The sequence below is a fragment of the Homo sapiens genome, chromosome 2 (genome assembly GCF_000001405.40).
Source record: "Homo sapiens chromosome 2, GRCh38.p14 Primary Assembly".
NCBI classification, from domain to species: domain Eukaryota; kingdom Metazoa; phylum Chordata; class Mammalia; order Primates; family Hominidae; genus Homo; species Homo sapiens.
Window position 1 is genome coordinate 15,415,386 of NC_000002.12, and position 23,387 is coordinate 15,438,772.

General features: G+C 37.1%; 1 protein-coding gene across 11 annotated transcripts in view; it reads right to left on the minus strand.

Moving 5' to 3' along the window:
- NBAS (NBAS subunit of NRZ tethering complex) overlaps positions 1–23,387 on the minus strand; it is a 782,426-nt gene that overhangs the window by 636,477 nt on the left and 122,562 nt on the right. For all 11 annotated transcript variants that reach the window (XR_007076390.1, NR_052013.3, XM_017004317.2 and 8 more), the window contains 4 exons: positions 12,326–12,409; positions 8,930–9,083; positions 2,142–2,327; positions 161–334 (listed from right to left, as the gene is read on the minus strand). Coding sequence is in view for 9 of the 11 variants with exons in the window: in XM_017004317.2 (XP_016859806.1) it covers positions 161–334; positions 2,142–2,327; positions 8,930–9,083; positions 12,326–12,409 (598 nt within the window). In the remaining 2 variants the exon portion in view is untranslated. The remainder of the gene's footprint in view (positions 1–160; positions 335–2,141; positions 2,328–8,929; positions 9,084–12,325; positions 12,410–23,387) is intronic.

Consider the following 23,387-nt stretch of genomic DNA (forward strand, 5'->3'; position numbering starts at 1 on the left):
ACTATGCTGTTAAAACTTTTTAAACAATAAAATGACAATCATTTGTTTTTCTGTTTAAAGGGAAATTATCTGCAAAGCCTACCATAAAAATTGTATAAATAAAACCTAATACTGTAGGGGAAAAAGTGCCCAGAATTTTAAGAAGTTAGTTTCTACTTACATCTGGTTTGGAATGCTGAAATATCTTCAGGGGAAATTTTAAGTCCCCTTTAGCTAAAGTTACTAAATATTCTTTTAATAGCTCATTAGCCACACCAGGCGACTGTTTCTCACAACGATGAAGAAAGGGAACCATCCACTGGTAGGCACTTGTCACATATTTATCCTCAGAACACTGAAAGTACAATCAAGCAAAACAGACAAACAAGAATGAAGTTAAACTAAATGCCTTATTATATCAGACAGCGAGTTCTAAAGCTTACAGGTCCTCAGACTGATGTTAAACAGTGCAAACCCAACACTCTAAAACACACAGTCCAGTTCACCACTCACATGTGGATTGACAGGTAGCAGGAAAATGAATCACCTGCTACTGGGGCTAGTAGAGCTGACAGCAACAATATCACTATGGCTCATCTCTTTACATCATAAGCAATATGGGGTCCCAAGGAGCCTAAGCTCAGCTCTAGAAAACCAACATGCTGCTACTACAACTCAGTCATGAGGTCATCCAGAGCAAAGAGAAGGCATACGCAAAAACAGAGAGAGAGAGAGAGAGAGAGAGTATAAAAAGAGGCAGAGACACACAGAAAAGGAGACCTTAGACCAACAAAGAGTGAATAAAAAAAGTAGAAAGACAGAGATACACAAATAAGCACAGGTTCTAAAATAGGGGCCTCTAGAAAATAGGGTTTCATCTATAAAAGTCAGGAATCTCTCCCTTCTTTTTCCTCTTCCTCTTTGTTTTGCCCCTTTACAACCACCTTTACAAAATTCCAAATGACAGAGATAGTTTTACTCATTATCCCTAAAATTACACAATCGTTTCTCTTAATTATCCCCCAAAAGATACACCTAAAGCTATTAAGAGGAGTCAACATATAACACAAATTAATTTTAATTAGGTAGATTATCAGGAAAAGAAACTAATGAGATAACGGGAAAGTAAAGACAGAGGGAGAGACAAAAGGAAGATAAGCCAGGAGAGGTGGCTCACGCCTATCATCCCAGCACTTTGGGAGGCCTAGGCAGGTAGATCGCCTGAGGTCAGGAGTTCAAGACCAGTGCCTGGCCAACATGGTGAAACCCTATCTCTATTAAAAATGCAAAAATTAGCCTGGTGTGGTGGCAGGCGCCTGTAATCCCAGCTACTCGGGAGGCTGAGGCAGGAGAATCGCTTGAACCCAGGAGATGGAGGTTACAGTGAGCCAAGATCACGTCACTGCACTCCAGCCTGGGCCACAGAGTGAGACTCCATCTGAAAAAAAGAAAAAAAAAAAAAAAAGGAAGATAAATATAAGATGGGGGAAAATGTGGAAGGGAAGGAGAGAAAAAGAGTCCAGGGAGGAAAAAGAACCTATCATGCAGTTGTGACTCTGCCCCTTCTTCTGGACCATTCAACCTAAGCTGCCAACAAGCAAAAGACTAGAAAGAGCGTTGGCAGCTACCACCTCCACAGCACCATCCTTCTTGCCTGTTGACTCAGTGGCCGGAGTACAAATAAGGTTCTAATTTTGGGGAGAAAGCACAGAATGATCTAAGAATTACTGGGAAAATTCTCTTAAACATACTAACCCTGAAGCCAAGATGTTTTCTTCAAACAACCACCCGGTCCTCTTAACCCTGATACTTTTTTCCAGTCCTTGAAATACATAAGTAATTGGGAAGTTTAACAAAGTGAAAGGTTAAATACAGGATTACTAGAATCACTAGCTAGTTTAGAAAAACACCTAACTAGAACGGAAAAAAAAAGTTATACAGATGGGTCTGAGTAAAGGGCAAGCAAGGTATAAACACAACCAAAATAGTTTTATATGTGTTTAGTAAGTTATGCATAATATTTTACTGTGAAAAAAGTCAATCTTTATTTACTAACTTCTCAGGTCTGTAGAACATTTCATCTTTGGTTTGAGACACATATGTATCAAAGTGCATAGAAAATGCTTTAAAATATTTAAAAAGGAAGTTAAAATAAAACCTACACTATTCATCAGTAATCTTAGTTTTTCAATGTCTTTCATCTGCTGGAGTTCTTTCAGGGTTAGAGTTACATCACACCTGGCTTCATAAACCAATGTTTCCAGAGTAACCAAATTGTCACAGAGAACCAGCAAACCAGGAATATTCCGCTCCATCCCAAGTCGAATAAGTGACAATGCACAGTCCACCTAAAATTGAAAAGCAACAATAAGTTCCTGAGTATTATATATTTCTCATCTATTCTAAAGTAAAAGTCTCCAGTACAGAATCTAATTCTTATAATCATTTTTTATAAAATTGCATTACCAGTAACATACGTTTTTTATTTACTGCAAAAACATCAGAGTCCTTTATCAAATACATCAGCATCAAACTGTTTCAAAGGAATCAAACAATCAGCAAGAAATACGGAAGAGAAAGACAACCAACCTATTATAAATTTGTAGAGCGTTACAGTTCACAATGCAGCTTTACATATTTCTTTTAATTCTTACAACATTATATTTACATAATAAGAGAAAAAACACATACCTACTAATGATAATGTCAAAATAACCTTATTTTTACTATTACCACTCTGCTTCCAAAAAGAATGTTTGTTTTGAAGGTTTTACTTTTATATTCCTGTATAGTATCTATCCTTTCACACTGCCTTTCCATATAAAAGTCATTCAATAAATATTTGCTGAATAACTATGTTACAAACACTTTCTTGGTCTCAGTTCAAATATTTAGCCTTCAAAAGACAAAAACACAGACTGATATTCCTGAAGATGCTCAGGAAACAGCCATTTGACCCCTATTTCCTGGTCAAGTTTATGAACTGATACATTCTCCGAGTGATAGAGAAATGATCTAGTGTAGTCTAAAGCCATTCTCTCTCACACTACTTCTTACTCTCCTATTCCCAATTATTCATGAGGACCTACTAGAAGCTAAGCACCATTCACCATTTGTGTTAGAAATACAAAACTGAGTAAGATGAGGTCTCTTCCTTCAAAGATCTCTCAGCCTTGTAAGAAAAGACAACCACAATGACTGAAGCAGAGTGCAGTGAGTGCTGTGTATGATGCGGATCCCACAGAAGACAGTACTTAGCCAGCCTGAGAGGGTCCCAGAGGAGGGAACACTTAGCATGGACTCTAAAGAATCAAAGGGTATTTGTGAGGTGAGGAAGGAAGATTATGGGAAGGAGAGCAGCATGGAATGCAGAGATGCATGGTGAGTTGTGAAAGTACAATTCCACGTGACTGAAAAGAAGGTGTGAGGGGCAGCAATGAGAAAGACGGCTAGAGTAGGAGGGACGGGCCGGATCATGAATGCTGTGTGTCAAGCTAAGGAACACGCAGCTGATCAGGAAGGCAGAGGATTTCTGAATGAGACATGTCACAAATAGAGCTACACTTTGGAAGGAATACTAAGTATTTACTGACTGATGAATGAAATGTACATGATGAACTGGAAATGGACTGGAGTGAAAATAGGCAGGCTGGTCAGAAGAATTACAGTTACCAGTATTAGAGAAATTCTGACAGAAACACACTGATTCGCCATTCATTGACTGATTAGTTCACACACTTATTCACAGACAGTAAATACTTGTTGCATATTTCTAATATACTGGGCAAAAATAATAAGGGGCTAAACTATGACAGTATTCCTGAAGACATACAAGAAAAAGAATATAACAGATAATTAAGCAGACAGAATTTGTGAAATTTGGTCAGAGCAGATGAGAAATTTGAGTAAAGAGGAGTCTAGAATGATTTCTCATCTAATCCACAGCAGAAATTCATATTCATACATATATATGTGTGTGTGTGTGTGTGTGTGTGTAGAAGAATACATTTATTAAAAGTAAAAATTGTGTGTGTGTATGAGTGTGTGTGTGTGTGTCTGTGTTAGAGGCAAGGTCTTCCTATACTGCCCAGGTTGGAGTGGAGTGGGTTATTCACAAGTGCAGTCATAGCACATTACAGCCTTGAACTCCTGGGCTCTAGTGATCTTCCCACCTCCGCAACAGAGCAGGTGGGACTAAAGGCGCATGCCACCATGCCATGCCTGGCTTTTAATTCTATATTGACCATGTTGCTTGTGAGGTGCCCATATCTTGATACAGATGCCCAATAGTAGGTCCAAGAAGAAGAAAACAAAATCTGTGCCAAAGTACATGTACTTGGTTGACGATTTTTTTCTTTTTTTTTTGAGACCGAGTCTCACTCTGCCTCCCAGGCTGGAGTGCAATGGTGCGATCTCGGCTCACGGCAAGCTCTGCCTCCTGGGTTCACACCATTCTCCTGCCTCAGCCTCCCGAGTAGTTGGGACTGCAGGCATCTGCCACCATGCCTGGCTAATTTTTTTGTATTTTTAGTAGAGATGGCGTTTCACCATGTTAGCCAGGATGGTCTCGATCTCCTGACCTCATGATTCGCCTGCCTCAGCCTCCCAAAGTGCTAGGATTACAGGCATAAGTCACCATGCCCAGCCAACGATGATATTTGACAATTGTCAGCACAAACATCATAGAACAGTATTTGGGGAGAGGGATCTAAATGGGTCACAACTGCAGACTCTCTTCTAGTAATAACAGTAGCACGCTGGGCAATAGCAATAATTAAGGGACAGGCCAAAGAACATGAGCCCTAGGAGAAGAGTACAATGAATGGTTAAGACAACAACAAGAAACACCTTAAAAATATCACAGAAGCCGAAGAAGAATTACAAGAAAGAAGCAGTGAATAATGTCAAAAAGCAACGATGTTAAACTACAAATGAAGAGAATGTGACATTAAGAGGTAGACTGAGGTGGGCTGTCAGCCTTACTGAGTGCGGTCTCAGCAGGGCGGTGGGAGTCGCCAGGCTCTGGGGAAATGAGAAGTAAACAAAAAGCAGAGTGGCTATTTCTGAGCTGAACTGTGATAGAAATAAAAAGCAAAGAAAGAAGCCAAGGAGAATATGGTTCTTTTTTTTATTTACAAAATACAAGGGATGTGAATTTTATGCCCACAAAAAGGGGAGGGGCAGAGAGAGTAGATGCAGTAAAGAAGGAGAGGTAAAAGATACAAGCCAGAGAAAACAGACAGCTTAGAAAGCCACGCTAAGCAGGGGGGAATGTGGAATCTAGAGCAAGGTAAGGAAAGAAAGTGGCTCTGACCAAAAGAGGAGAGCCCTCTTCCTCGGGAAAAGCTGGAAGGAGCACATGCAAATGGAATGGAGTTCTCAAATTTTCAAATAAAATACAAAGCCAAATCATGTTCTGAGAATGATGAGGGAAGTGGTGGGGTAAAAGGAGTAGAGGAGAAGGGGAAGAGGGGGAAGCAACGTAATGCCAAGAAAAAATGCCACGCAATAATAAAGGCCCACTCACAACCCTTCAAAGACCTAGGGATGGACAAGTGAAGATGAAGTGAAAAAAGAAGAAATGCATTTTCAGTTGGAAAGAGTGGTCCAAATAAATATAAGGGGGGAACAGTAGAGGGAGGTACAGTATGAGGCAAAATATGGGGGCTCTCCCAGTACTTCAACAGACACATGTTTTTTTACCTTAATGCCTAGTAATAAAAACAAAGTTCAAGTCCGAAAGAATACATCTACCTTTATAGCAAGTTTTTAAAAAAAACAAAAACAAAAAAACCTCTATCTCAAATGAATTCTCAGAAAGCATTAAGAAAGCTTGATGCATAGAGCACAGTTTTGTGCAAGTGATAGTCTGAACACACAGTACATCAGCAATTTGTAATATACTCACCAATTTTGTGATCCAAACTAGTATTTTTAATATCAGCTTTGAATCTGTTGCCTTCCCAAATACTTACTAAAGTATAAGTGTTTTAAAATGAAATTACTGACACTTTAACTGCAAGTAGGCTCTAATGCAACTTACAGAATTATATCATATACCCTAGGTCCTGGCCAGATAAAATTCACCACAATAAACATTTCCCTAAACCAACAAACAAGTTTCGCTAAAGGCACTAGGGAAAAAGAAGTCCCACATCAATTAAATCTCTAAAAATGAAAAAGATAAAACTATGTCAGATATCACTTTGATCACAGCATAATCCACATGAAACATCAATACCTAACATGAAGCCAAAAAAAAAAAGCCTCTAAGTGTTTTAAAATAAATGAAAGAATGAGAGAAAGAATACAAGCCAACTGAAGTCCTCCAAAATCAACTTACTTTCTTTATAATTATCCCTTATTACTCAAAAAGAGAATTCAAGGTGTCCAGGCATTATTGCTAGGTTATTTACAAATTAAAGTTTCAGAAAGCTCTATAGGTTTTTCCTTTAATACACTTTATTTTTTAGAGCAGTTTCAGCTTTGCCATAAAATTGAGCTAAAAGTACAATTTCCATATATCTCCTGCCCCACCCTCCAACCACACAACCTCTCCCACTATCAACATTCCCCACCAGGCCCATGAACGTGCACTGACACATCATCATCCCCCAAAGTCCACGGTTTACATTCAGATTCACTCTTAGTGCTGTACATCCCAAGAGTTTTGACAATTGCATAATGACACATATCCACCATTATGGTATCCAATGAAGAACAGTTTCACTGCCCTCAAACTCCTGTGTGCTCTGTCCGTTCATTCCTCCATCTCCCTTAGCCCCTTGTAAGCCCTGATCTTTTCACTGACTCCATAGTTTTGGCTTTCCCAAAAAGTCATATGGTTGGAATCATACAGTATGCAGCCTTTTCAGATTAGCTTCTTTCACTAAGTAATAGGCATTTCAGGTTCCTCCATGTCTTCCATGGTTTGATAGTTCATTTCTTTTTAGAGCTGAGTAAATATTCTATTTTGGGGGCACCACAATTTATCTGTTCACCTACTAAAGGACATCTTGATTCTTCAATGCTAACAAATGTATTGCTCAAATGCAGGACGTTACTAATAACTTGTGAGTGGGGGGAGCAATATGGGACTCTGTATTTCCTACCCAATTTTTCTGCAAACCTGAAATTCCTCTAAAAAATAAAGTCTATAAATAAATAACAAAATAGTTGATTGTAAAAAAAAAAACCCACAGCTTATTTTGCATTCCATTGTGGCATTTTTTTCTGTCACTAATTTTTTGAAACTGAATAATGTTTGAAATTTGGGTTACAAAATATTTAAACACCAAAAATTGAGGAATCATTAATGATCTTTTAAAATTCATGATACTGATTGCCCAGCACTTTTTACTGACATGAGAAATTTTTTAATTCACATTCCTAGCTCAACTGACAAAACTACCTAGAAATAAGTTTTTTTGATGTATATATAAATACTCAAACACAGACACACTTTTCTCCTTATTCTCAAAGAGCTTTATCTATAAGTTCAACTAGGAAACCGCAAAAGGCTCAAACAAAACTTGTCCATCTAACAAAATCATTTTTCTTGTTAGCCAGAGATAACAGCAAAACACATATATTTGCAAAACTCCTATAACTCATACAGTGCCACTGGAGTCTTAAAAAATGTCTAGGTGCACGTTACAACAACCTACGTGGAGTTGATCATTTATTTTTTTACAGTTTTTTTTATACAGATTCTATTTTAAAAGATTATACAGGGACCCAGATTTTGTCTGGCTCTGCCACTGTGTGTCCCTGTGCAAGACGTTCATTCTTTCTGTGAACTTTATCTATTTATAAAATACGGAATTAAAGTAACTGAACTAGCTTATTTCCAAAGATTCACTTCATCGTGTTATCTCTTCAGATTCTACACATTTTCAAAAGTGCATCTTCATAGACTAGGATGTCAATCACAAATGTTCTTGGCCATCACCCAAAGAGTTTAGTCTAGAATATTCCCAACAGCTCAGCAAATAATTCATCTTCAATGCTATGAATATTATAAAATAGGAATTAGGTTAAGCAGAAATTCAAGAAATCTATCATGTGGAAGCACATGGGTCATGCTAGATAAACTAAGTAGAAATTCATTTTATTTATTTATTTTTAAAATTTTTAAAAAACTTGTCACTGACTTGAAGCTCAACTAAGTAGAAATTTAAACAAAGGGGATATATTACCTCCCATGGTACTGCTGCTCACCAGACCACCTGGATTCACCTTTCCTGTCAAATCAAAGGCTGATGGTAGGACAGGCAGTAAAAAGTGAAGACTGAACGTGGAAGAAAGAAATCATCATCTGCTAGCTAGAACCAACCCCATGGGAAAACCAAGGTACAGAAAAGACAGGCAATAGGTCCGAGTCACAAAGTCTATTAGCTGAAGAGTCAAGATTAGTATTCAGATACTCTAAGGTTCAGTATAATCGTCATCTCTCTCTTCCAGATCCTTCTCTAATGCAGCTGTTTGGCATCTCTGTAAAAGTGTCTAAGAACTGAGAGAAATTAGGCATGAACTTCAGGAAAACATTAGAAACAACTTCAAACAGGGTTCCTGAAAGGCAAAGTTACAATCAACTGCATTACTGCAATAAAACAGTGGCTTAACCAAGAATTTGTATGTAGACACGATCTTTTAAATTATATGGTGTTAAGCCTACGAAAAATATATAGAAAACAAGGGACAGTATGTACCACATTTTGCAACTTAGGTTTTAACGTTACTTTTATGCACCTGCTCTGTAAGAATCCAAAACAAAAGCCACAAAACGTTCTAATGCACAGGATAACAAAGAAATAAATATTCAATTCATCTCTTGCAATTATATACATGATTCCTGCACTGCTGTCAGCCCCGACTCCGTGTACTGAATCCTAAGGATCCAAGGCAGTTCCACTAACATTACTGAGCAGCAGCTGCCATTTCCCCTCACCTGCCGAGCATAATGCTCTATTTCCTCTGCTCTGGTCTGATACCAGTCCATAACCTTCTCCACCGTAAGCTGGGTCATCCTGAACCTTAGTAACTCAGGCTGTGCAGCATACAAGAATTCACTTTCATCTTGGAGATTCGGCTCAACAACCATTCTGTGAAGCACAAAAGGACCAATTAATAACTGACTAGAATGTTGGAAAAACATATAATTTTGTGAGAGAAAGACAGGGACAGAGATGGGGAGAAAGTAAGAGACAGGGAGCATACATGTATGTGGTTTGTGTATCTATCACATGCACACGCACCCTTACAAGATAAATGAGACTTTTTTGGATGCGTAATTTATTTTCCCCCCGTTTTCCCGATTTAAAAAATCAGAAGGCATAATACATCAAAACGGCTATGCCACAAATCAATCAAATAAGTACTAACAAAATCAAAAATCACCGAGGGAAGCTTTTACAAAATATACACAGCTGGGTGCTTACCGCAGGCCCACTCAATCAAAATCTCCTGTGCTGGCCAGCCAGGCCTAGTTTAGGAAAATATCCCCAGTGATTCCAACTTGAATTTGAATTAAGAAATCTTGTTTTCGATGTTCATAAAAATAAGAGGAAATACACCTTATTTATGTTGATAATATACCTCTACTAGGTGCCAGCAATTTAGTACTGTACTGACATTTGCACAGCACAGGACTACTCTATACCATTCCCTATCAACTGTGAAAAAAAAAAGAAACCACATTTGGAGGAACACACACAGGGCTAACCTCGTGGGGATTGCTGATCATGAGGAGTTTTTAACGAGAATGATCATGGCCAATTGCCTTCCATGTTTAAGGACAAAAAAAAAATACAAAGTAACAAGTATCAGATGGGCATATGTAAAAATGCTATGTTCCATTAGGGATAGTCATTCATCTAAAGCAAGCTGGCAGTACATGACTGGTGCTACAATGGTTCTTGTTGTAAGGCAATGAGCTTTGGAGTCAGAATAGAATCAGACATACAATTCCATCACTGAAAGCTGTGAAACCTGCAAATTCCTTAACTAAAACTAGTCTAAGATCTCCTTTATTCCTATTTATTCCTTTTATTTAAACGGGGAAAACACTATACAAGAATGTTGTGAAAATTCAAAATAACAGAGCACTGCCTGGCACAAAGGAAGTGCTTAATTTTATTTACTGTTATTTTTGTTAAAATTATTAGCAGAAACACAGCCTGTAAACATTGGGGCATTTTACCCAAATGCCTTTGACAACCTACTTTGCTTATACCTGCCACTACAATAAAACTTCCCTATATATGGAATGGTCCTTCACTTACTAGTCTCACAGTGTTGTTAACATTCTTCCAGGGATTTCCCCCCAGCTCTGCCCACACGAAGCACATCACTCACTCCTCCTGGCATCTCTTACATCTGCTCTATTTTTGCAAGAAAAAGGGGCCAACAGTAACGCTGAGTTCCTCTGATACCTCCTTCAGTTCTGCATATTTATTTCCTCCTCAGCACCCTTTGATAGAACTGACCGCTCCTCCTTCTGGAAATGCCCTTTGCCCCTCGTCAGTCTGCTGTCATGCCGTGAAGCATTCCTCCCTCTGGCTGCCCCTTCTCAGTCACCTTTGCTACAGCATCCTCCCTCCTCTCCCCAAGCATGAATACCAGAAAGGACACAGGCTTGTTAGCCCAGCTCTCTTCTTGCTTTCCACTCTCCCCAGTCTCCTCTTCAACTCTACACTATCAATTACCATAGACATTACAACAGCAACAGTACATTTTATAAACCTTTAGGTGTTTAACTTCATATCTGACTAGTGATTTTAGCTGATACAGAAATCTATAGCAAAAAATATTATCCTCCAAAAGTTTCAAAGGATTGCTCCATTGTTTTCTAGTTTCTAGTGTTTTTCCTAAGGGGCCTGAGGTCATTCTGATTCCCAACTCCTTTTACATAACATGCCTTTCTCTTCACAAGACTGTATCCCTAATATTCTGGAAGGTCATGGTGGTATGCTGTAATGTAATAGGCATTTCTGAGGATGCATAATCTTCCATTCAAAGCAATAGGCTTGAATTATTTCTTATAATTTCCTCCCCTCTATTACCCATGGCATCTCTTTCATCTATAACTTGAATATTACACTTGTTTTTTAAATAACTGGTCTCTTACTTTCTAGCTATGTATTTTTAACCTATTTTCTAGGAAAGTTTCTTGCTTTTATCTTCCAACTCTTCTAATTTTTATGTACCAACTATCACATTTTTAATGTCCTAAATTTCTCTTAATTCTGTTTCTATTTTATACAATGCTATTGATATTTCACAAATACAGTATCTTCTCTTATCTCCAGGTAATATTAATGATAATTTTTAAAGTTTTCGTTGTGTATGTGGTATCACTTTCTTTCAGTTCCGTTTTCCGTATGTTTTGCCCTTCTTGTTCATTTGTTCTTCCTGCTGGAGTCTAACCTCGGATGTCCAGGAAGCTCTGCAGGGGTGGCAGAACCTGTTCGTTTGTTGGCTTCATTATGACCTTGTGGTGCACTAACTTTTGAGGGCCATATCTCAGTATCTAGAAACCTCTTTTCAGAGGTTACTCATTTCTCCAGAAAAGAACTCTCTAAACTTCTACTTGGGGAATATGCCTGCATCTGGGAGCAGGGAGTGGGAAGGAAAGCAGAGTTTGGACATTCAGGTCATACATTTTCTAAATGCCCAGATTTTCAAACCAATTACTCAACTCCTCCTATGCAGATTCAGATTAATATCCAGTAATCTGAAGGTTTTCTAGCTCAATTTAGAGGCCCTTTGCCTCAATGCATGAGTCAAAAAAAGCACAAACCTCTTGTCTCACATGAAAAAAGAAAAACAAAAAGGAAGAAGAGACAGTGAAGGAGTATTTACCCGACTTTGAGGAGTAGGGCATAAAGGCATTCCAATATTCCTCACATGAATTTTCAGCCCCACACCGACTCTCCCACCCCCCTTCTGCAGTACTGGATGCCTACACATTCTGAGGCTTCCCAAAGTTAAATCTGACAAGAAAAAAAATTAAAACTGATCAAGAACAAAATTGCATACATACCATAATTACAACTATAAAAAAATTAATATCACTATATGTGAAAGACTGAAAGGGAATAACACAAAATGAAAACAGTTGTTGTAATAAGCACCATTTTTTAACATAATTCCTTTGTAGTATTTAATTTTTCCATTAAAAAATTTTAACATAACTGAGTCAAAGGAGTTTAAAACTTCACTCAAACTTTCTAAATTAGGGAGTGTCATCAAGTAAGGTTTCATTGGTCAGACACCACTTTCACAGGGCCATCAGTTCACCCATCCCACAAAGAAACAAAGATGCCTCCTGCAGGCTCATACTGACCTGCAAGCCAACTCCTCGCACCAATCTTTAGCTCGGTGTTTATGTTCATGCCAAGGAATGATCATCAGGGAGTCACCGTTAAAACTCAAATTTAAAAAAAAATAAGTGTTTAAAATTCACATTACCTCAATGACTTAGCCACACAAGGAGTAAAATGCAAACAGCATCTCTATAACATTAATATCTAAGATTCATGCTTATAGTATTTTAAGTGGTACAGGATACATATTATATACATACTATATAAATGGGAAATACCATATTGCTGAATCATAAAATGGCTCAAAAAGAAAAATTACAAATAAAAAATTTGGCAAGTAATTAAAGGAAGGTATGGATAAGTTTTCATTCACAAATTCTAAAACACTTATCAAGAGCCTGCAGTGCATGTTGTTAAAACCAACATAAATGGTCTTCTGGATTGTAAGCTGTTGGGGCAGAGTAGTGCTTTCAACAGAACTTCCTGTGATCACAGAAATGTTTTGCATCTTTGCTATCCAATACAGTAACCACCAGCTATGTAAATGCTCACTGGTTATAAGCACTTAAAATATGGTTACTGACATGAGGAAAGTGATTTTTAATTTAATTTTAATTAAGTTAAATTTAAATAGCCACATGTGGCCAGTGGCTACCATATTAGATAGCACAGACCTAGAGGACAGGTGATAGTAAGAGTAAAGGAATGATTCTGCAGGTTGAAAAGTATCACTGAAAAACAACAGAAAGAAAATCTAGGCCTGGTATTGTGGCTCACACCTGTAATTCCAACACTTTAGGAAGCCAAGGAGGGAGGACTGCTTGAGCCAAGGAGTTCAAGGCTAGCCTAGGCAACATAGTGGGACCTCATTTCTACAAAAAATTTAAAAATTATCCAGGTGTGGTGGTGGCATGCCTGTCATCCCAGTGTCCCAACCACTCAGAAAGCTGATGTAGGAGGATCGCTTGAGCCCTACTAAAAGGTTGAGACTGCAGTAAGCCATGATCAAGAAAGAAAATCTACAGGAGGCAAAGATAAGGCCTGACTGAATATAACATAAGAATAAATTAAGGCCAGGCGCGGTGGCTCACGCCTGTAATCCCAGCACTTTGGGAGGCTGAGGTGGGCAGATCACGAGGTCAGCAGATCGAGACCATCCTAGCTAACACAGTGAAACCCCGTTTCTACTAAAAATATGAAAAATTAGCCAGGTGTGGAGGTGGCTGCCTCCCAGCTACTCAGGAGGCTGAGGCAGGAGAATGGTGTGAACCCAGGAGGCAGAGCTCACAGTGAGCTCAGATCGTGCCACTGTACTTCAGCCTGGGTGACAGACTGATACTCTGTCTCAAAAAAAAAAAAAAGAATAAATTTAAACGGAAAAGCAAGGTAAACACAGTATGGTAATAGAGCAGAGCAATGTTCCACAAATCAGGACACCTGAGAAACAGAAACAAATCTGTCTCTTCATGAGCTAGGCACTCTCTGGCATGTGACTCTCTAAAATGAAGGGCTTCAAACATTCTCTCTTAAGTCCCTTTTAGCTTTAACATCCATGAATCCATGAAAACAACTAAATCATTCTGAATTAAGAATAAAGACAAAAATTGTTAAAACAAACTTCAATTGCCTTGCTTTATAGCTCAATAAAACATTTTCTCTAATATTTCTGAGTATCAATAGTAGCATTTTCCTAAAATTTATCATAGCCCCAGAAAAAGGATTGTACTTTCTTATATTATTAGGTTATACAACACACTTTGCACAAGAAACACTTCATAAACGTTTGAAAATTATGTTGGTGAAGAGATTGGTCTTCATGTAAAAAGTAATAAGAAACCACTGGAGGGTTTTAAAGCAGAAGAGGGAAGCTAATGAGGTCTGGGAAGGGGCAGTGACGACTGATCAATCAACAGCATCACCCTTGCAGTTATTATTATTGGGGCAAATTATCCAAAGTCAAGGTTCCCCTCTAGATTACAAAATAAGAAGTTTATTATATCGTGTATCTAAAACACAGATTTCCAGTTAGCATGTAATATCCTAGCAAACTATGTACCAGAGATAGGTTTTTGAAGGTGTGTGAGTCCATAATTTTAAATTTCTGAATCATACAAATGATGATTTAGAATGGATGCTACAACCATACTATTTCATTTGTCACCAAATAAAAAACTATTTTATTTTCTTCCATGTCAATAACTAATATTTTATCACAGATCACTGAAAAGTAAAAAAGATAACATCTGGATACAAGGATGATGATGATTACTCTTCCGACATAAGAATAAATTACAGCAATGAATTGAGGAATGAGGAGAAAATAAATAAACCTAGCAAGCTATTATGACCTTTCTAATTAAAACAGACATGGCTCCTTAAGCTACATAAAATGTTTTCTAAAAGAATTTTAGAAAAATGTATCACAAGTTGAGATTTGTATTTCCTATTCAAAGTATATATTAGATGCAAGAGTTATTAGGAACCCTCAGCAAAATAATACTTATTTGGTATGTAGAGACTAGTAAGTTGTAAAATGGTATCTTCACTGAACAGAAATAAGAAAACAGATATATAATATACATATTTTTTAATCAAAACAGATTTTCACATTTGCTGCATTTTCAAGGTACAGCACAACCAGTCTGTTTCTAAATTTGCTGATCACACTGATATGATGATGATGACAATGATGATGATAATAATAGCATTACTATTACTACTACTACTGCTGCTGTATCAGCAATGATCAGTGACAACAATAATCTTTAGCACTGACTGATCTCCTACTATGGACTAGGCCCAATACAATGCTGTTAACATAAAATGTCTCAATTTAGTCCTATCAATCTAATGTAGTAGATATTATCTTCCTCATATTACAATGAGAAAACTAAAGCATAAATTAACTTGTCCATCCTAACAAAGCTAATAAATTGACAAAGCCAGGATTTGAACACAACCAGTCAGAATCCAAAGCTTACACTTTTAGCTAGCATACTAAACTGCCTGTAGAAAGGACATAGGGACTATAGTCTAGTCCCCAACCATTTTTCCACCATTCCCCCTCCATGCATCAGGAGCCACCAGTCAGATTTGTACACAGCAGGTAGAGGGCAACTTTTTTTTTCTTTTTTGAGATGGAGTCTCGCTCGGTCGCCCAGTCTGGAGTGCAGTGGCACAATCTCAGCTCACTGCAACCTCCGTCTCTCAAGTGCAAGCAATTCTCCTGTCTCAGCCTCCTGAGTAGCTGGGACTACAGGTGCCCGCCACAGTAGGCCCGGCTAATTTTTTTTTTTTTTAGAGAGACAGTTTCACCATATCAATCAGGCTGGTCTCAAACTCCTGATCCCAGGTAATCCACCCACCTCGGCCTCCCAAAGTGCTGGGATTACAGGCGTGCGCCACTGTGCCCAGCCGGTAGAGGGCAATTTGAGCCTTCTCAAGATTTAATACAGACAACCCAAAAAGGACCATTTACATGCATATCAAAAGATACATTTAAACTAAGATATATAACTACTACATTACTAGTCTAATAAAACTAATATCTATGGAATATGGTTTAATCTTAGGTTTGATCACTCATGTTCATGTAAAAACAAAAAAACCCTTCTTGTTGCTCTTTTTCTTCCAGGATGTTTCTACAAAACAATGTATTTTAAACCAAACTTTAGGCATTTGAAGTGCTAATAAAATCACCGTAAGTTCTTTATTTTGCTTCAAATGATAACATTTGAGAAATAAACAGGATCTTCTCTCCAGCCAACATAAAAACTCTTTAAAGTCAGGATTCTTGTTTATTTTGTCTAGTGCTATATCCTCAGCACCCAAAATAGTATCTGGCATTTAGCAGACTCAAAAAACTATATGTAGGTTGAATTAATTGACAACACAACAAAAAAATTTTAAAATGATCTCATGGATATCACAAAAATTTAAGATTGGAATATAGCAATGGAAAGGGATAGTTTGTTCATGAAAAAAATGGATATGTCAAGGAGGTATGCTTATACAGAATCTACGGTCTGAGAGTGAGAACAACAATGTTTTCCTAATACATATTATTAAACTGATGGAAGAGCAAGCTACACTAGTAGTAATGGTATACATCTACTAACTGGATAGTTGGATATCCCATTATATCTCAGTTAATAAAAAAAAGACAAGAATACATGTTACCCTAAATGTCATCATTCTTTACATTACAAATTAATTGATTGGTTCTGTTCTTACCTTTTAAAAACTGCCCAAATTTTAGCTACTTATTCTTTCGTTAGGTAAGCAGAATGATAAAATGTTTAATAAAATTCAGAGAAAACCCTTTTCATGGATTCGATTCACAATTAAAATATTAGACATTAAGTCAATTACTAAATGGGTTAGGCAAAATTGTAGCTTGAAAAAAACCTAGAAATCATACTGTTCCTTCTACAGAACTATAGAAACTTTGGGTAGGTGTAAAACTTACACCTTGAATCTCAAGTTCTATAAACATGAAACTGCATTTACATATACTTTATTTCATCTTATTTGTCTATTTTTCCCCTGCTTGGGAAGTCTTAAGATTTAAATACATCATCTCCACTTAAAAAAAAAAAAAAGGATTATATGGTAAACTCAAATTATCTCTTTACAAAATAATGGCTGCTTTTACTTAATTTTAGGATTCTTTATATTAGAACCCTATTCATTGTTTTATTTCAAACAATAAACTACGCTGGCTTTCATTTGATGGTAACATTTATCTGCCAGCAGGAAAGGAATTAATATAACAAGTTCTATTATATCCAACAATTCTCCCACCAATTATTTCTCAAACTAAATATAAATGTTTTATTTCAAAGAAATTTCATGAAGAATAAACTTTCAAAAAGTTCTTTTATTCATGTTCTATGCCTCGGAAACAAAAGGTTAAATAGACAGTGTATTACTCGTAATTGCCACCTTTTAAGCATTGGCTTTAAAATGTGGAGTTATATTTATTTCTATTATTTAGCAGAGAATAAAACGTTCTGGCAAGTAAAGAATAAAAATAATAATACTTGGGGCCTACATGTATAACTACACTGTGGTTGACATCACTGAACAAGTCAAATTGATCTGAAACTCAGTGGGAAACCAATTAAAAAGCTAGTTATCACTCATAACACCAAGTCGAAAAAAAAGCTGTCCGAAGGCATTATTCAGAGCTCTCTTCTGGACCAATGGGATTCAATTTCATTTATAAATAACTTAGAAAACAGAGCAGAAACTAAGAAGATATTTTGAAACTTACCAGTATTCTCAGAGGCTAGCAATGTGTAAAAGAGAGACAAGAGTGAAAACAACAGCACTCTAGGATTTGGATTCACCTCCTCCCACCACGAGTTTAATCTCTGGGACCCAGCTGCCTCATCTATTTAGTAAATGCCGCAATACTGCCTGCTCAAATGAAAATGAGACTAAAGTAAAGATTGTCTTGAATTCTAATCCATAATACTTAAGATTATGCTCTTAGAGAAGTCTAACCTCTGGGTTAGAATTGTGAGTCTACCTTTCATAGCTGTAGAACCTTGATGGAGTTACTCAAACTGCCTGTGCCTCACTTTCCTCACTAGTGAAAGAGGGATAATAACAATATTTAGCTCATTTGGATTAGGAGAAAATCAGATTAGTTAGTACATAAAGGCCCTTACAACAGTACCTGGCATACAGTGAATGTTATAAAAACATTAATACCAGCAAGAAGGTTTTTCACAAGTAGTGAATACAAGATATATATGACTCTGGTTGACATTTCAAGATCTACTTTATGATAAACAATAGCATCATATTAATAATTATATCAATGATTACATTTCCAAATACCTAACAACTGCGATAACCTCCACTTATACCATCCTGAGTAAAATGGCAATTAACAGTAATATGAAAATGTGATGAGTTGATTTATGAAGTAGAAAAAAGCAACCATTTCCAAAAGGCATTGTCTCTGTCCCAAACGCTTCAAACCAAGTTTTAAAATTAGTTTTTACCCATGAGCAAAGGACAATTTGATTATTATAAAGGAGAACTAGTTTGTTAAATCATTAAAGTACAAGAGAAAGTCACAAACTTCAATGAGAAGTATTAAAGAATTTCCCAGGGCCAGGCCTGGTGGCTCACACCTATAATCCCAGCATTTTGGGAGGCACAGAGAAGGGATGATTACTTGAGCCCAGGAGTTTGAGACCAGCCCCGGCAACAGAGCAAGACCTCATCTCTTCAAGAAAAAGAAAAAGGAAAAAAAAAAAGAAAAGACTAGCAAGGATTCAGGGGAAGCTGTCACAGGCCTGTAGTCCCAGCTACTTAGGAGGCTGAGGTGGGAGGGTCACTTGAGCCCAGGAGATGAAGGCTGCAGTGAGCTGTGACTGTAACTGCATTCCAGCCTGGATGACAGAGAGAGACTGTCTCAAAAAAATAAATTAAATTAATTAAATAACTTCCCAAAAAAGTCAGTTATATAACTCAGAAAGGCTGCTCTATACAAGATGATTAATGTCAACAAAACAAGAGAGATAAACAAAACAAGAGAGATAAACAAAACAGATGACTAGAGAAAACAGATGACAAGAGAGACAACAAAACAGATGACATGAGAAGTCACTGGTATGAAAACTGACCTCCACCAGTACCACTTGCCTCTTGGGCAGATTACCCTAATTTTGAATAAGAGACACTGAAGGTCCTCAGAACAATGAAGGATGCCTATGCTCATTACAAAGAAAGTCACCAGGAAAGAAAGGAATCCTCAAGTATAATTTCAATGGCCTTGTACTTTATCAAGAATAAGCTAAAATGACCCACATCAAAAAGTCTCCCAAATAAAACACTTAGGTAATAAGTTTTACATTCTGAATTTGGTGTTATATACGTAAAATGTTTATAAATACATAGGTTTTATTGTTCATTTATTTTTGATATGATGTTCATATTTGTAGTATTACAGATGAAAAATAGGGACTCAACTTAAAATTGATTAACTACAACTTTCATTTATAGTAATCAACTAACCTATAGGTTCGAGGTTGCCAGTATTCCATTCAGTGAGGGGGAATATATATTAAATGTGGTAACACGGAAAGATCTGAGATCTGAGTCAACCAAGGATTGATGAGAATAATCCTTATACAGGGGAGACCCAAAAGTACATATCTACAACTGCCAAATGGGAAGAAATATGAGAGCAATCTAATAAATTCCACTCCCTATTCTGTAACTTAGACTGACACAGAACCAGTGGAGAGAAAAACAGAGAGACCCTTATTTCACATTACATGAAGACAAGCAGACCCTGACAAATAGCCTTTAGACTATTAATGACACCAGAAAAATCACTTCCAGAACAAAGATAAAAATATATGACATTTAAATTTATCAATTACAAAACTACTGAAATGTACCAAAATATTCATGAATTGTATCAGTGTTCATTATAAAAAATAACCCACCTATGTGAGTATGTAGTGCTAATGGATTTTGAATAAAAGGATTAGAGAGGAAAGAATACTTTTAAATCTCGTTTTCATTCATCTTACCAAAAAAGCACAGATTATGCCTATGCAGACCCCAAGCCAAAGGAACACTGATTTCTTCATAGCCACCCTTAAGAATCCCCGTATGTTCTTGCCTCTAAACTGTGCTGAATGGACATTTCACACACTATTTATATAACCATTCAACTCTGCCCAGCCTATGTATAATACTTATATAGTACTTAACTATCTGCAAGCACAAATATAAAGTTGTAAGCAATTACATATGTAAATTCGGCAGCCCTGAGAGATAGACAATATTATCTTTCTCATTTTACAGGAGAGGAGACACAGGCACAGAAACAGTAAGCAACTTGTCCAGGGTCAAATAGCTAAGTTGCAGCTGGAATTTGAACCCAGGCAGTCCGGTTCCAGAGTCTACGCTCTCAGCCACTATGGCATTTTACTTATTTGAATCCCGCCTTTTCCAGCTCAAATTCCAGCTTCCCAAAGATGTTACTGTAGCCATTCCAGTCCAGATTGGTTTCTTTTTGTTCTAAATCCTCACTACTTATCTGGACAACCATGTGGCATTTAATCTTTCGATAGTATATAAGTGGTATACTTCTCAAATTCCCTGAAGTTCTTATCTATTGTTAATTTCCTAGATTGTCTCCCCACTAAAAGTAAATATTCTCTGATAAATACCCCTTTGTGTCCATCACAACTCCCAGTGCTCTTATATGCATAATAATAACATATAAGCAATAATTTTAACTAACTTTATATAAATGCATTATTTCATTTAATCGTGAATCAAACACCCTAAAAGGTATATATCACAATTATAAATTTCCAGATAAACAATCCACATGAGCTCAAAAATAGTCACTAATGAATGAATGATCAGTAGGAACAGACCATTGATACTCTCTTAATTCTAAAATCAGAGCTCTCAAAGGAAAAAACTCTTAAGAACTAGAAAGACAAGATCAAATCAAGCTGTGAAAACTTATTGCACATTGAATAAAAACTATAAAAGTCAACGTAAGAGGAAGACTACATAGCTAAGACTATTTGCCTGTAGATAACCCTTTCTGCATTTATCTCACTGCTACTGTAATTATTTGTATACATATATTTCAGAGGAGGGTACTTTATACTCCCAGCACCTAACTCACAGTAGTAGCTCACAGAAATGATTCAATCAAGTAACTAATTAGCAAGCTTCCTGAAATGAATCACTGTGCTTCTCAAGCTTGTGAAAAACCCTCCAATGACAGAAAAAATTATACTTTGGAAACCAAGTTATACAAAGGCAGTAGGAAGAAAAAAATGTTGATATAAAATATTCAAAAAGAAAAACTAAAAATCATAAATATGGCACGTTAACCTCATCTAAATGGATAGAAAGGTAGCACGATTCACAGCATGCATATTTATAATGTTGTCTTTAACTGTGTCAGTCAATGCGGTGTTCATTAGAGGAAAAAAATTGAAACCTTCTGATGTTCCCAGACCAAGCTTATCAGACTTTCTTCCATGTTATTAAACCTCTCATGTATTTCCATTACTGCTGTCATTGCACTGAATTATAATTATTTATTTATGTGTCTTGCTCCTTCACTAGACTATGAGCTCCTTCAAAGCTTTCATCGTTTTTGATTCGTTAGTGGAATACCTGGCATTTATTTAAAACTTACTACATATTTAATAGATGGATAGATAGACAGGAGGATGGACAGACTGAAGGAAGAATGGATGATTATGTATAAATAAATGAAAAAACAAAAACTATCCCCAAATCATAAGGGTATACGCAATGCTTTCCTGTGGCAAAAGATTCGGAACATGTACAGCAGATTTTTTTTCAAATGTTCATAATTCTAAATTCCCAAAATGGTCTACACAACTCCCTATTTTCCACCCATGCCATCAACAACAATGCAATGTTCTATGGGACAGGTGACTCTTCGCCTGTGTATGAGCACTTATGAGTACAAAGAGATGTGGAATTTAGCTGGGCATGATGGAGGATACCTGGAGTTCCAGCTACTGGGGAGGCTGAGCAGAAGGATCACTCGTGCCCAGGAGTTTGAGACCATCCTGGGTGACAGAGAGTCTCCATCTCTTGAAAGAGAAAGAGAGAGAGAGAGGTGGAAAGTCCTAAGCTATTAATAAACAAAGAAGCACAGAGGTTGTTTGCCCTGAGATACTGCTGCACAAGTCTATGTGAGCCTTTTACAATCATGAGTTCTTTGAGTCTAGGCAAAATTACACTGCAGACAGGCATAAAATCACAGCTGAGGAAATGAAGACCCTGGAAATGAAGAGGGAGTGTTCTGATGTCAGTTCGACAGAATGTGACTAGGAAGACAATGGTGTAGCTATCTGCAGGGCGAATAAGTCTAACACACTTTAGTGTTGATGAGGTTCAAGATTAAACTAGAGTTAGGTAGAGAAGGGAAACAAAACACTAAAGAATTTGAAGAAAACAGTTCTTATGACTGTCAATATAGATTTTTAACTACATAACATTCATTCATTCCACAAACCTTTATTGAACAACTAAAATTTTTAAAAATAAATACAAAGGTATTGCTCCTGCCCTCAAGAAACACAAAAATAGACCAGAAAATAGATGCTATAATAAGTTAACAATTGAGACACAAAGTGCCACTGGTATTCAAAGAGAAAATGACCCTGAGAGGCAGAATGAGAACCAAGGGTCCAAGAATGAAGTGGGATATATGTGACTGTTTCTTTAAAAAATTGTCCATAAATGCCCTTGAGAGATAACACATAGCACCAACTCTCCCAAACACCTGCGGCTGACAGTCAACCTCTGGGATGGCAATTTGGAAAAAGAACATCTCTGGCTCAATACATTGCAGCTTTGCTTATTTGTTGTTCGCAGTAATGAAAAGTCCATGTGTTAAAATATACTGTATTTCAACTACATTTCTCGATCACTTTCTGTAATTTCCAGATTAAGGAAAGCCTTTCACCTGTTCCTAATTCTGAAATCCATTTAATCAACTGCATAGAGACATTAACCTTATAGTACACACCATGAGGTGGCTGGTGGAGCTCGTATTTTGATTAAATAAATCATATGTTATGGGAAAAGACAGAATAGGCTCCATGACAACAGGGATAAGAACTCAACTAATGAGATGAACAAACCTACACAAAACAGACTAATAAAAGATCAGCTCAGGAAAATTACTTTAAAACACTAAAAGAGAACTTCTGCTTTGAACAACAATGAAGTATGGAGTAACAGGAACAGTAATGAATCTCTTGAATTAATCTAAAAAACTACCACCACGATCAACAACAAAAATAGACAGCAGGACACCAGGCACTGCAGGATAACGACACTAAGGGAAGGGAAAAAAACAAAGTGAGCCCAGCAGCGCCCTCGCTCACTGCCTGAAGAGAAGTGACAGGCTGCAGCATAAAAAGGGAACTCTAAACAGAGCCTGGCAGGCCTTCTGGGCTGCAGAGACAGAGTTTGAAAGTCAGAGAGCCAGAGTAGCTAGAATTTACAGACAATGGATCAGAGAAGAACGTGCACTGAGAAAGA